Source organism: Homo sapiens, chromosome 3 (genome assembly GCF_000001405.40).
Source record: "Homo sapiens chromosome 3, GRCh38.p14 Primary Assembly".
Lineage (NCBI taxonomy): Eukaryota > Metazoa > Chordata > Mammalia > Primates > Hominidae > Homo > Homo sapiens.
In genome coordinates, this window is record NC_000003.12 from 98826256 (window position 1) to 98842093 (window position 15838).

General features: G+C 44.8%; 1 protein-coding gene across 3 annotated transcripts in view; it reads right to left on the bottom strand.

Moving 5' to 3' along the window:
• Positions 1 to 15838, bottom strand: part of DCBLD2 (discoidin, CUB and LCCL domain containing 2) — a 105755-nt gene that overhangs the window by 30315 nt on the left and 59602 nt on the right. The gene's annotated exons all lie outside the window — the stretch shown is intronic.

Below are 15838 nucleotides of genomic sequence, written 5' to 3' on the forward strand. Positions count from 1 at the left end.
GAGTCTTGAAGTGCTGGCCTTGTCTTACTCTGCAGTCTTGTGTGTACCTGCCTTGGCTTCTCGCCGCTCCAGTCTTGTTTTGGTCCCCTGGCACAAGCTGCTCTCTCGACTTGTAAGGCTTTCCCACTACTACTTAGCTTAGCTGATTCCTCTCTAAGAGCTCAGCTTCACTGCCACTTCCTCACAGAAGCTGTCCCTCAGCTTCACAAGTCAAATTCCTTTAGCACACAGTAGGCACTTAAGTTTTGTTTGTTTTAATAAACAGATGACTATTCTGTGTTGTCAAACGTAATGTGTTATGTTAATATGTAAGCCTGACTTGTTGGTGTAATTATAGAGTTATAAGCAAAATCACTCTATAAAGCCTAGTCCCCGGACAGAGCCTGAGGCTGTTTGTCCTCACCTTTGTATTTCCAGTAGCAATAACAGCATATGGTATACAGGAGACTTATTTATTGAATCAATGGATGAATAAAAGTTTCTGATCATTAGCATGTTTGGCTAAGTCCAGTTATTTACTAACCTGCAGGGAAGAAAACCTGGAAGAAGACCCCAAGGCAATCACAAAAGTAAGTGATTTTACATATAAACGCTTGATTAAAGAACTGTGTCAAGGGTAGCCAATATACCCTTGATGGAGATAGCTCCTAGCACACTGAACAGTATATAAATATTTGTTAAATTAATGGTTACCACAGCAAGCATATGATAATCGATCATTTTATTCCATAATTCTGAAGAAATTTTGTGTTTACTATTCAACTAAAATGTGTCTTGAACTAGAGCTTAATAACTGTGTTGTACCAGTAAGAAAGGGGTATTTTCAAGGCAAGTGTATAAATTAATAGTTATAAACCACAGGCATTTGAATGACAGTTAAGCTAAATCTGTGCTTTAGGAATTTAATAGGATAGATGCCTAAATAGGGGCTCACTACCACCCAGTTGACCAACCAGAAGAGCAGGCAAATTGAATTACCAGTTCTCTAGTTATTCCTGTCAATCTTTGCCCAGCATCAACAAGAATCAATTTTCCACTTTCTGCTCCACCAAAAAAATTTCCGACTTCTAAGATTAGAAGTTGAATTTCTAAGATTAATAGCCTGGGATGAAAGGTACTGTGTGGTCCAATATGGCACTTAAACCACAAGAAGACTGCCAGCTGGCCCCATTATCTTCCAGCCACATGCCAGAAATCTGGTCAACTATGGATTATTTGATCAGAACAGGGCTTTGGTTGTAAGTGCATGCAGTGCTGAGACTCCAAAACTATGCCATGCAAATGTGCAACTCACTAAAGTTGCTCTCAAATTCCATGGAAGTTCAAAGAGCTCTCAAGGAGAAAAATAAGAATTCAAAATGGACAGCTACAAGGAGAGCCAAGAAGACTGAAGATAAAGAAAGCCTTAAGTACACACTTTGACCTTTACAACTCTACAAAGAAAACAACATCAAATAAAGCAGGCAATTAAGAAGCTTTAAAATGTCTTTCTTAAAAGCTTTTCCCAAGTAAACAGCCTTCCAGAAAATTGTCATTACTACAATGCTCCCAGCTAATAAGAACACAGCCTAGCTCCAGAAAAATCCATCTGCCCCAGAGATTTCTGATAGCAATGTATAAGTCATCATAATCAAAGGAACAGAATTGAAAATCTAGAAATAAACCCTCAAATTTATAGTCAACTGAGTTTCAGCAAGGGTGCCTAGACAATTCAATGGGGGGAAGAATTATCTTTTAGACAAATGATGCTGAGACAACTGGATATCCACCAAACAAACAAATGAATTGGACCCGTACCTCAAACTACATACAAAATAAAGTGGATCTAAACTCAAGAGCTGAAACTATAAAACTTTTAGAAAAAAATATATGAGAATATCACAACTCTGGATTAAGCAGTGATTTCTTAGATAAAACACCAAAAGCACAAGAAAACAAATAAAAATAAATGGAAGTTCATCAAGATTAAAAACTTTTGTACTTCACAGGACACCATTAAGAAAGAGAAAGATGGCACACAGAATGGGAGAAAACATTCACAAATGATATATCAATGAAAACAGATGTATCTAATATCCAGAATAAAGAATATTATTATGTGGCATTAAAAAGACAAAGGAACCAATTTAAAAACAGACAATGGATATGAACAGACATTTCTCCAAAGAAGATATACAAATGGCCAACAGGCACATAAAAAGATGCTCAGCATCATTAGCCATCAGGGAAATGCAAATTAAAATCACAGTGAGACACCACCATACACTCACTAGGATGGCGAAAATAAAAAAGACATAACAAGCACTGGCAAAAATGTGGAGAAACTGGAGTCTTTATGCAGTACTAGTAAAATTGTAAAATGGTGCAACTGTTTTGGAAAATGGTTTGGCAGTTCCTTAAAATATTAAACAAAGAGTTAGCATATGACCCAGAAATCTCACTCCTAGGTATATGCCCAAGAGAATTAAAAACCTATGTCCCCACCAACATTTGTACACAAAAGTTCATCAACTGATGAATGGATAGATAAACAAAATGGGGTGTATATACATACAATGGAATATTATTTGGCCATAAAAAGAAATGAAGTACTGATTCATGCTACAACATTGATAAACTTTGAAAATATGCTAAGTGAAAGAAGCTAGTCACAAAAGACCACATACTATGTGATACATTTATATGAAATGTTTCGAATAGGCAAATCTATAGCAATAAAAAGTAGATTCGTGGTTTCCTAGGATTGTAGGGGGTTAAGAGGAGAGAAATGGGGAATAACTGCTACTAACTAAGGAATTTCCTTTGGGGTGATAAATATGTTCTAAAATTGACTATGGTGATAACTGTACAACTCTAAATACACTGAAAAATCAATGAATTGTATATACAGATATTTTATTATTTAATTTCAACTTTTATTTTAGATACGGGGTACATGTGTAGGTTTGTTACATAGGTATACTGCATGGTGCTGAGGTTTGGGGTACAGACCCCACCACCAAGAGAGTGAACATAGTACCCAACAGGTAGTTTTCCTTTTAACTTTATTTTAGGTTCAAGGGTATATGCGCAGGATTGTTATATAGGTAAACTTGTGTCATGGGGGTTTGCTGTATCTTTTGTCATCTAGGTACTAAGCCTAGTTAGCATCCCACAGTTATTGTTTCTGTTCCTCTCCCTCCTCCCACCCTCCAGTAGGCCTCAGTGTCAATTGTTCCCCTTTATGTGTCCATGTGCTACATTTAACTGCCACTTAAAAGTAAGAACATGTGGTATTTGGTTTTCTCTTCCTGTGAGGTTAATGGCCTCCAGTTCCATCCATGTCCCTGCAAAGGGCATAATCTCATTCTTTTTTATGACTGCATAGTATTCCATAGTGTATATGTACCACATTTTCTTTATCCAGTCTACCATTAATGGACATTTAGGTTGACTCCATGTCTTTGCTATTGTAAATACTGCTGCAATGAACAATATGAGTGCAATTTATATTCCTCTGGGTATATACCCAGTAATGGGGTTACTAGGTCAAATGGTGGCCCTGCTTTTAGCACTCTGAGCAATCACCACTGGTTTCCACAATGGTTGAACTTACACTCCCACCAACAGCGTTTAAGTGTTCCCTTTTCTCCATAACCTCATTAGCATGTTATTTTTTTACTTTTTAATAATAGCCATTCTGACTGGTATGAGATGGTATCTCATTATGGTTTTGATTTGTATTTCTCTAAAGATCGATGATATTGAGCTTTTTTTCTTATGCTTATTGGCCACATATGTGTCTTCTTTGGAAAAGTGTCTGCTCATGTTCTTTACCTGCTTTTTAATGTTTCTTTTTTCTTGTAAACTTGTTTAAGTTCCTTATTGATGTTGGATATCAGACCTTTGCCAGATCCACACTTTGCAAATATTTTCTCCCCATTCTGTAGGTTGTCTGTTTACTCTGTTGATAGTTTCTTTTGCTGTACAGAAGCTCTTAATTTTAATTAGATCCTATTTGTCAATGTTTGCTTTTGCTGTGATTGTTTTTGGTGTCTTCATCATGAAATCTTTGACAGTTCCTATGACAGAATGCTATTGCCTACATTGTCTTCCAGGGTTTTTATAGTTTTGAGATTTACATTTAAGTGTTTAATCTATCTTGAGTTGATTTTTGGATATGATATAAGGAAGGGGTCCAGCTTCAATCTTCTGCATATGGCTAGCCAGTTATCCCAGCACCATTTATTAAATAGGCAGTCCTTTCTACATTGTTTATTTTTGTTAGCTTTGTCGAAGATCAGGTGGTTGCAGATATGTGGCCTTATTTCTGTGCTCTCTACTCTGTTCTATTGGTCTACGCACCTATTTCTGTACCAGTACCATGCTGTTTTGGTTACTGTAGCCCTGCAGTACAGTTTGAAGTCAGGTAATATGACTCCTGCAGCTTTTTTCTTTTTGTTTAAGATTGCCTTGGCTATTTGGGCTCCTTTTTGTTTCCATATGAATTCTAAAGTAGTTTTTTCTAGTTCTGTGAAGAATGTCATTGGAAGTTTGATAACAATTTCATTGAATCTGTAAATCACTTTGGACAGAATGGCCATTTTTATGATAATGACTCCTCCAATTCATGAGCATGGCATGTTTTTCCACTTGTTTGTGTCATCTCTGATTTCTTTGAGCTGTGTTTTGTAATTCCTGTTGTAGAGATCATTCACCTCCCCAGTTAGCTGCATTCCTAGGTATTTTATTCTTTTTGTGGCAATTGTGAATGGGATTGTGTTCTTGATTAGGCTCTTGGCTTGACTGTTTTTGGTGTACAGAAATGCTAGTAATTTTTTTTTTTTTTTGAGATGGAGTCTTGCTCTGTTGCCCAGGCTGGAGTGCAGTGCAGTGGTGTGATCTTGGCTCACTGCAACCTCCGCCTCCCGGGTAGCTGGGATTACAGGCACATGCCACCATGCTGAGCTAATTTTTTTTTTTTTTTTGGTATTTTTAGTAGAGACGAGGTTTCATCATGTCAGCCAGGCTCATTACCAACTCCTGACCTCAAGTGATCCACCCACCTTGGCCTCCAAAGTGCTGGGATTTCAGGCATGAGCTACCGCTCTTGGCCCTTCTCTCTTCTTTATTAATCTAGCTAGTGGCCTATCATTAATTTTTTTCAAAAAACCAACTCCTTGATTTGTTGACCTTTTGAATGTTTTTCTGCGTCTCACTGTCCTTCAGGTTGAGCTCTGATTTTGATTATACATATTCTGCTAGCTTTAAGGTTGGTTTGCTCTTACTTTTCTAGTTCTTTTAGTTGTGATGTTAGGTTAATTTGAGATCTAACTTTTTGATGTGGGCATTTAGTGCTATAAATTTCTCTTGTAACAATGCCTTAGCTGCATCCCGGAGATTCTGGAATGTTGTATCTTTGTTCTCATTTAGTTTCAAAGAACTTCTTGATTTTTGCCTTAATTTCATTATTTACTCCAAAGTTATTCTGGAGCATTTCCATGTAATTGCATGGTTTTGAGCCATTTTTTTTAGTTTTGATTTCTATTTTTATTGCACTGTGGTCTGAGAGTGTGTCTGGTATGGTTTTGGTTCTTTTGCATCTGCTGATTGCTTTATGTCCGATTATGTGGTCATTTTTAGAGTATGTGTCATGTGGCAATCAGAAGAATGTATTTTCTATTGTCTTTGGATGGACAGTTCTGTAGAGGTCTATTAGATACATTTGGTCCAGTGTTGAGTTTAGGTCCTGAATATCTTTGTTAATTTTCTGCTTAGATGATCTGTCTAATACTGTCAGTGGAGTGTTAAAGTCTCCCACTATTATTGTGTGGGAGCCTAAGTCTCTTTTTAGGTTTCTAAGAACTTGCTTTATGAATCTGGGTGCTCCTGTGTTGAGTGCATATATATTTAGAATAGTTAGGTATTCTTGTTGAACTGAATGCTTTACATTATGTAATGCCCTTGTCTTTTTTGAGCTTTGTTCGTTTAAAGTCTGTTTTGTCTGAAATTAGGGTTGCAATGCCTGCATTTTTCTGATTTCCATTTGCTTGTTAGATTTTCCTCCATCCCTTTATTTTGAGCCTATGGATGTCATTGCATGTGAGATGGGTTCCTGAAGACGGCGTATCATTGGGTCTTGCTTTTTTATTCAGCATGCCACTCTATGCCTTTTTAAATAGGGCATTTAGGCTATTTACATTCAAGGGTAGTATTGATATGTGTGCATATGATCCTGTCATTGTGTTGTTAGCTGATTATTATGCTGGCTTGTTTGTGTGGTTCCTTTATAGTGTCACTGGTGTGTGTACTTGAGTGTATTTTCCTAGTGGTGTTTTAATGGTTTTTCTTTTCCATATTTAGTGCTAGCTTCAAGATGTCTTGAAAGGTGGGTCTGGTGGTAATGAACTCGCTTAGCATTTGCTTATCTGACAAGAATCTTATTTCTCCTTTGCTAAGGAAGCTTAGTTTGGCTGGTTATGAAATTCTTGAAGATTTTTTTCCTTTAAGAATGTCAAATATAGGTCCCCAATCTCTTCCAGTTTGCAGGGTTTCAGCTGAGAGGTCTGTTGCTAGCCTGATGGGGTTCCCTTTGTTGGTGATCTGCCCTTTCTCTCTAGCTGCCTTTAACATTCTTTTATTTAGACATTGGAAAATCTGATGATTATGTGTCTTGGGGAGATCTTGTGTAGAATCTTGCAGGGGTTCTCTGTATTTCCTGAATTTTGACTGTTGGCCTCTCTAGCGAGGCTGGGGAAATTTTCATAGATGATATCCTGAAATATGTTTTCCAAGTTGTTTGCTTTCTCCCCATCCAATTCAGGGATATCAGTGATTTGCAGATTTGGCTTCTTTATATAATCCCTTATTTCTTAGAGGTTTTATTCATTCCTTTTCATTCTTTTTTTCTTTACTTTTGTCTGACTCTCTTATTTCAGAGAGCCAGTCTTCAAGTTCCAAGATTCTTTCCTCAGCGTGGTCTATTCTGCTGTTAATACTTGCAATTGGGTTGTGAAATTCTTGTAGTGTGTTTTTCAGCTCTATCAGGTCAGTTAGATTCTTTTTTGCACTGGCTATTTTATCTGCCAGCTCCTGTATTGTTTTATTGTTAATTCTTAGTTTCCTTGAATTGGGTTTTGCCATTCTCCTGAATCTCGATGCTCTTCATTCCTGTGCATATTCTGAATTCTATTTCTGTCATTTCAGCCAACTCAGCCTGGTTAAGAACCCTCATTGGTGAACTAGTGCAATCGTTAGGAGGACATAAGACACTCTGGCCATTTGAATTGCTGAAGTTCTTGTGTTAGTTCTTTCTCATCTCTCTGTGTGGGTGTTCCTTTAACTGCTGGGCTGCCTCTAATTGAAGTGGTCAGGTGGGGGTACAGTGGTTGTGCTGGAGTCCCAGGTCAGGCAGCCCTGTCCAGTGAGGAGAAGTGAGGACCAGGATCTACATGGAGAACCGTCTGACCACTTTTTGGTGAGATGGGTACTGTGCTTGGGGTTCAGACCAGGCTTCAGTCCCATGGACTCTCCAGAGCCTGGAAACAGCAAAGGTGAGGGCTGCAAGGCAGAAAAGATGGAAACACCACCCTCCCAGTGGGAGCTCTGTCCCAGGTTGCTGCAGAGCTGCTACTGGCTCCAAAGTCCCAGTGAAGGGAGGCTGGAAACCCAAGCCTGGAGGACTTGCCCAGTGAGGAGATATGGGAGTGGAGACCCATGTAAGAAACAGTCTGGCCACTTTTCCATGACTACTCCAGTAAACTAGGGGCCTGCTCTGGTCCCCAGTCACCTCGGATTTTCCAGCACCACTTCCCTGGGTGGGGGAGGCTCCTCTGGCCCTGTGTCGTTCCTGAGTGGGTGGTTGTCCTGCTTTGCTTTTTTCCATTCTCTGTGAGTAGAGTTGTTTTCTTTTTTTTTTTTTTTTTTGTTTTAAATTTTTTTATTGATACATAATAGATGTACCTATTTTGGGGAGTACATATGATAACTTAATACATTCATAGAATTCACAAAGATCAAATCAGTGTAATTGGGATATTCATCACCTTGAATACTTTTCTTTATGCTAAAACATTTGCTTTATTCCCTTCTAGCTATTTCAAAATATACAACAGATTATTGTAAACCATAGTCACCTTACTGATCTATCAAACACCAGGTCTTATTTCTTCTATCAAACTGTATATTTGTACCCATTAATCAACCTCTCTTCATCCCCCCACCTCCTCCCCTTTCAGCCTCCAGTAACCACCAGTCTATTCTCTAACTTCATGAGATTTACGTTTTTAGCTCCCAAATATGAGTGAGAACATGTGATATTTGCTTATCCATGCTTGGCTTATTTCACAACACAGTGACTTCCAGTTCCATGCCTGTTGCTGCAAATGACAGGATCTCATTCTTTTTCATTGCTGAATAATATTCCATTGTGTATACATCACCTTTTCTTTATTCACTCATCCATTGATGGATACTTAGATTGATTCTATATTTTAGCTATTGTGAATAGTGCTGCGATAAAGATGGGAGTGCAGATATCTTTTCCATATATTGAAACTTATAGATGTTATCCTAAAAAGTTAAAAGCCTCCCCTCAGTCTGAACTGCTTTGACATCTGGAACTTCCTTTTTCAAACCCAAAGCTGCCTGTCATAATCCCAACTGATTCCTACTGCTTGTCTTTAAATTTTCCATCCCAATAGGCCACCAGCCCTTCTGCTATAAACTTGCACATTCTTTTTTTTTTTTATTTTTTTGAGACAGAGTTTTGCTCTGTCATCCAGGCTAGAGTGCAATGGCCCTATCTTGGCTCACTGCAACCTCTGCCTCCCAGGTTCAGGCGATTCTCCTGCCTCAGCCTCCCAGGTAGCTGGGATTACAGGCATGTGCCACCACACCTGGGTAATTTTGTATTTTTAGGAGAGATGGGGTTTCACCATGTTGGTCAGGCTGGTCTCGAACTCCTGAACTCAGATGATCTGTCCGCCTCAACTTCCCAAAGTGCTGGGATTACAGGCAGGAGCCACCGCGCCCGGCATACTCGCACATTCTTAAGTCCCTACTCTTTCCTGGCATTCCTCCCTTACCTAGAATGGGTTTCTCATCACCAAAAGCATCCTACCCACTGTTCAAGGTCAAATTCAAATGTCAACTCCTGGGTGTCCCCAGCCAGAAATGATTCCCTTCTCATTTGTTCTTCTAAGATAACTATTTTCTTGCCATTTAATTATTCTTCACTCAGTAAACATCTATTGAGCACCAAATATGTGCCAGGTTCACTTATCCATCCTCTCACTCCGTATGCTATTTTTTTTTCTTCTTTTTTTTTTTTTGAGACAGAGTTTCTTTTTTGTTGCCCAGCCTTGAGTGCAATGGTGCAATCTCGGCTCACTGCAACTTCTGCCTCCCGGATTCAAGCGATTCTCTCGTCTTAGCCTCCCGAGTAGCTGGGACTACAGGCACGTGCCACCATGCCTGGCTAATTTTTGTATTTTTAGTAGAGACAGGGTTTCACCATGTTGGCCAGGCTGGTCTCAAGCTCCTGACCTCAGGTGATTCACCTACCTTGGCCTCCCAAACTGCTGGGATTATAGCGTGAGCCACCACGCCTGGCCACTCCATATGCTACTATAATTATTTGGTGCTTATATGAGGGGAGGAGATGAATTTTTCTTTCTTTCTTTCTTTCTTCCTTCCTTTCTTTCTTTTTTTTTTTTTTTAAGATTTTTAAATTTTTGTTTATTCACATTGAGGAGAATCTAAATTCTTTTGAACTTATGTATAGATTTCACCATTTTATAGTAATAAATCAGTCCTCCTGTGTGTGTGTGTATGTGTGTGTGTATGTAAACCTCACCTTGCAATATTATTATTTTAAATAGCCACTTGCATCTTAAGGAAATTAAGAGGACAAAAGAAAAGCTGCTGTTTTGTATGTATCCACATATTTACCAGCTGCTTCCCTGCCGGCAGGTGCTCTGGTTCTGCACTGCCTGTTGTCCCTTGCCTGAAAATGGTTGCCTCCAATATTTTGCTCAGTTTTCTGATTGTTTACAGTGGCAGAGGAGGGTAGATCTGGTACCAGTTAGTAATTGCCAGAGGTGGAAGTCTGTGGATGAAATTTGTATAACATGGAACGTTAGTTCCACAGTTAATGCTACTCAATTGGAACCCATGGAAATTATTTTTTGGTGAAAAGGGCCCATGCGTTATGAAATTTGAGATCCAGAACAAAATGAAAAGTCTCTCATGTCTACTTCTTTCTACACAGACACCGCAACCATCCGATTTCTCAATCTTTTCCCCACCTTTCCCGCCTTTCTATTCCACAAAGCCGCCATTGTCATCCTGGCCCGTTCTCAATGAGCTGTTGGGCACACCTCCCAGACGGGGCGGCTGGCCGGGCAGAGGGGCTCCTCACTTCCCAGTAGGGGCGGCCGGGCAGAGGCGCCCATCACCTCCCGGACGGGGCGGCTGGCCGGGCGGGGGGGCTGACCCCCCCATCTCCCTCCCGGACGGGGTGGCTGGCCGGGCGGGGGGCCGACACCCCCACCTCCCTCCCGGACGGGGTGGCTGGCCGGGCAGGGGGCCGACCCCCCCACCTCCCTCCCGGACGGGGCGGCTGGCCGGGCGGGGGGCCGACACCCCCACCTCCCTCCCGGAGGGGGCGGCTGGCCGGGCGGGGGGCTGACCCCCCCACCTCCCTCCCGGACGGGGCGGCTGGCCGGGCAGAGGGGCTCCTCACTTCCCAGTAGGGGCGGCCGGGCAGAGGCGCCCCTCACCTCCCGGACGGGGCGGCTGGCCGGGCGGGGGGGCTGACCCCCCCCATCTCCCTCCCGGACGGGGCGGCTGGCCGGGCGGGGGGCCGACACCCCCACCTCCCTCCCAGACGGGGTGGCTGGCCGGGCAGGGGGCCGACCCCCCCACCTCCCTCCCGGACGGGGCGGCTGGCCGGGCGGGGGGCCGACACCCCCACCTCCCTCCCGGACGGGGTGGCTGGCCGGGCAGGGGGCCGACCCCCCCACCTCCCTCCCGGACGGGGCGGCTGGCCGGGCGGGGGGCCGACACCCCCACCTCCCTCCCGGACGGGGCGGCTGGCCGGGCAGAGGGGCTCCTCACTTCCCAGTAGGGGCGGCCGGGCAGAGGCGCCCCTCACCTCCCGGACGGGGTGGCTGGCCGGGCAGGGGGGCTGACACCCCCACCTCCCGGACGGGGCGGCTGGCCGGGCGGGGGGCTGACCCCCCCACCTCCCTCCCGGACGGGGCGGCTGGCCGGGCGGGGGGCCGACCCCCCCACCTCCCTCCCGGATGGGGCAGCTGGCCGGGCAGAGGGGCTCCTCACTTCCCAGTAGGGGCGGCCGGGCAGAGGCGCCCCTCACCTCCCAGACGGGGCGGCTGGCCGGGCGGAGGGCTGACCCCCCCACCTCCCTCCCGGACGGGGCGGCTGGCCGGGCGGGGGGCTGACCCCCCCACCTCCCTCCCGGACGGGGCGGCTGGCCGGGCAGAGGGGCTCCTCACTTCCCAGTAGGGGCGGCCGGGCAGAGGCGCCCCTCACCTCCCAGACGGGGCGGCTGGCCGGGCGGAGGGCTGACCCCCCCACCTCCCTCCCGGACGGGGCGGCTGGCCATGCGGGGGGCTGACCCCCCCACCTCCCTCCCGGATGGGGCGGCTGGCCGGGTGGGGGTGCTGACCCCCCCATCTCCCTCCCGGATGGGGTGGCTGGCCGGGCTGAGGGGCTCCTCACTTCCCAGTAGGGGCGGCCGGGCAGAGGCGCCCCTCACCTCCCGGACGGGGCGGCTGGCCGGGCGGGGGGCTGACCCCCCCACCTCCCTCCCGGACGGCACGGCTGGCCAGGCCGGGGGCTGAACCCCCCACCTCCCTCCCGGATGGGGCGGCTGGTCGGGCGGGGGGCTGACCCCCCCCACCTCCCTCCCGGACGGGGTGGCTGCCGGGCGGAGACGCTCCTCACTTCCCAGATGGGGTGGCTGCCGGGCGGAGAGGCTCCTCACTTCTCAGACGGGGCAGCTGCCGGGCGGAGGGGCTCCTCACTTCTCAGACGGGGCGGTTGCCAGGCAGAGGGTCTCCTCACTTCTCAGACGGGGCGGCCGGGCAGAGACGCTCCTCACCTCCCAGACGGGGTCTCGGCCGGGCAGAGGCGCTCCTCACATCCCAGATGGGGCGGCGGGGCAGAGGCGCTCCCCACATCTCAGACGATGGGCGGCCGGGCAGAGACGCTCCTCACTTCCTAGATGTGATGGCAGCTGGGAAGAGGCGCTCCTCACTTCCTAGATGGGATGGCGGCCGGGCGGAGACGCTCCTCACTTTCCAGACTGGGCAGCCAGGCAGAGGGGCTCCTCACATCCCAGACGATGGGCGGCCAGGCAGAGACACTCTTCACTTCCCAGACGGGGTGGCGGCTGGGCAGAGGCTGCAATCTCGGCACTTTGGGAGGCCAAGGCAGGCGGCTGGGAGGTGTAGGTTGTAGCGAGCCAAGATCACGCCACTGCACTCCAGCCTGGGCACCATTGAGCACTGAGTGAACGAGACTCCGTCTGCAATCCCGGCACCTCGGGAGGCTGAGGTTGGCGGATCACTCGCGGTTAGGGGCTGGAGACCGGCCCGGCCAACACAGCGAAACCCCGTCTCCACCAAAACCAGTCAGGCGTGGCGGCGCGTGCCTGCAATCGCAGGCATTCGGCAGACTGAGGCAGGAGTATCAGGCAGGGAGGTTGCAGTGAGCCGAGATGGCAGCAGTACAGTCCAGCTTCGGCTCCGCATGAGAGGGAGACCGTCGGGAGAGGGAGAGGGAGAGGGAGAGGGAGCCTTGGGATCCTGTTGATCTGTGACCTTACCCCCAACCCTGTGCTCCCTTCTTTCTTTCTTTCTTTTTCTTTCTTTCCTTCCTTCCTTCCTTCTTTCTTTCTTTCTTTCTTTCTTTCCTTTCTTTCTTCCTTCCTTCCTTCCTTCCTTCCTTCTTTCTTTCCTTCTTTCCTTCTCTCTCTCTCTCATTCTTTCTTTCTTCCTCTTTCTTTCTCAGAGTCTTGCTCTGTTGCCCAGGCTGGAATGCAGTCGAGTTGTTTTCTTGATGAATCCGTTTGTGTACCTGGGTGTTCCAGTTGAAGTGCTGTATTTACTTGCCCCTTCTATTTCTTTCCATGAAGGCGGCACACACTAGCTGTTTTTAGTTGGTCACCTTGGCCAACCCCCCTGAATTGTATATTTTAAATAAGGGAATTGTATGGTGTGTGAATTATAACTTAATAAGACTGTTATAAAATAAAAAGAAACTATCATAGAATAACAGTGTCCTTTCATATGTAGCATATCTGTATTGATGGGTGAAATAAAGCCTAGTAAAAGAGCCAGGGCTGGCAGTTCGTTCATTTATTCATTCAGCATATATTTAATAAGCATGTGTTATGACCAGATGTCATTCTAGGCACCAGAGATAAAACAAAGAACAACCAGATAAAAATTCCTTCGTATAGGGAGTATACCTCTGGGTGGGGTGGGGGAGGTAAAAGACAATGTTAGTAAGAAAAAAATACTGTGTTAGAATGTGTATTGTACTTTAGAAAAATAATGAGAACAAGGAAGTTTTAAAAAGTTAGGGAGTTACAATTTTAAGTACAGTGGTCAGATCAGGCATCACTGTGAAGATGACATTTAAGTAAAACTCTTAAAATCGGTGAGGGAGTGAGGTGTTAGGTATTTGAATCTGAGAACAGGCAGCGGGAATCAAAGGCCCTGTTAGGAAATGTGCTCAGCATGTTTGAGGCCACAGTAGACAAGTAAAAGATGAAGTCAGATGAGTAATGGGAAGCTGAATGCTAGAGCATCTTGGAGATAAGGATAGTTGGTAGAGTGAGATGAAACTTTCACTTTAATAAGATCATACTGACCACTGAATTCAGAGTAGATTGAAGGGGGAAAACAGCAAAAACAAAGGTAAGAAATTTATTGCCGTAATTGAGGTAAAAGTTGGAACCTGAAATAGAGTGGTAGTAGTAGAGCTGTTAAGATGTAGTCAGATTCTGGTACATGTACATATATATTCGAAGAATTGGCAGCTGAATATGAAGCTTGAGAAAAAGAGAGGAGTCAAAGATACACTAAAATTTCTGGACTGAGCAACTTAAAAGATGAACTTATTACATGTGAAGTGCTTAGATTATAATAAATACTGAGAAAACACTTATCTTGCTGGATCCACTTTAATATGTCCTATAATACTAGAAAAATCAGTGATATGTTCAAAGTACGGGGCAGTATATAATTTACATTTCTTTTTCCTTGCTCTGTCACCGAGGCTAGAGTGCAGTGGCATGATCCTAGCTCACTGCAGCCTCAAGTTCCTGGTCTCAAGCAATCCTCCACCTCAGCCTCCCAAGTAGCTAAAACTACAGGCATGTGCCACCACACCCAACTAATTTTTTAAATTGTTGGTAAAGATGGGGGTCTCACTACCTTTCTGGTCTGGAACTCCCAGCCTCAAGCAATCCTCCCACGTCAACCTCCCAAACTGTTGAGAAGACATATGTGAGCCCCCATGCCTGTTATTTGCTACGTTTTAAACTGACAGCCTCTGCATAGAATTTTATTCTGGTAATTTTAATCAAACAATACATACAAATGACTGTAACACATTACTGCACGAAGTATCACACATATGGTACACTTCATTTGGGTGTTGTAGATAACAGCGATGGCAGTAGTAAACAGAATGCCCTCAGGGATTCTGCTGAAGCAAACTGGCATTCCCTCTTTTTCTGTATAGCCCCCAAAAGAGCATCTTCAGTGTTGAATATACACTAGTCTTCACAGTAGAGTTTAACCCAAAGGAAGTGTAACCATAGTATCTATAAAAAGAGTTTCTATCCTTCCCCATTACCTGCCTTCCCTAATCCTAGAGGGCTGTCCAGAGCAGGCAGATCTCAGATGGGGCTCTGAAGGCAGGATAATGTGATTGTGAGAAAGAGCAGGAGAGAATACAAATGTGAAGGCAAGCCAATAATCAATAACAGCCTGAGGAACGTCAGGTTTTCTGAAAACACCAACATCAGATTTCCTAAGACAGTTGCAAACTTAGTTAGCTATATTATCTGCCATAACTGATATATACATTTAAAAAAAATAAAGTACAATTAAAAACATTTTCAAGACATAATAACTGCAAAGGCTAGAGAACTTTGTAACTGTTGCATGAAATATTTAAACTTGAAATCTTATGTTGACCCATATATAATACCATGAAAATATATTTTATGTTAACAAATGAATCAAAAAATATCAGCACATTGGTTACTATCATAGAAATATTTTTGATTGACAGTGTTGGCTATTTCTGAGATTGTAGGGTTGCAAAATATATTTATTTAGATTTTCCTTCAATACTGTTTTGTGTTCTTGAATGAATTGAAAAAGACCCTCAGTAGTGTCAGTAGCCATCACTTACCACAATAAGTTGGTATAATGACAACTATATTTGCTGTAAACATTTTTGCACAGTTGAACTCAAGTGCCTATATTTATTCTAACTCAAGAAAGTGGCCAGGCACGGTGGCTCATGCCTGTAATCCCAGCACTTTGGGAGGCCGAGGCAGGCAGATCACGAGGTCAGGAGATCGAGACCATCCTGGCTAACACAGTGAAACCCCGTCTCTACCAAAAAAAATACAAAAAATTAGCCGGGCATGGTGGCGTGTGCCTGTAGTCCCAGCTACTTGGGAGGCTGAGGCAGGAGAATCGCTTGAACCCGAGAGGCGGAGGCTGCAGTGAGCTGAGATCGTGCCACTGTACTACAGCCCGGGTGCCAGAGCAAGACTCCATCTCAAAAAAGAAAGCACAGAAGTACTGTTCCA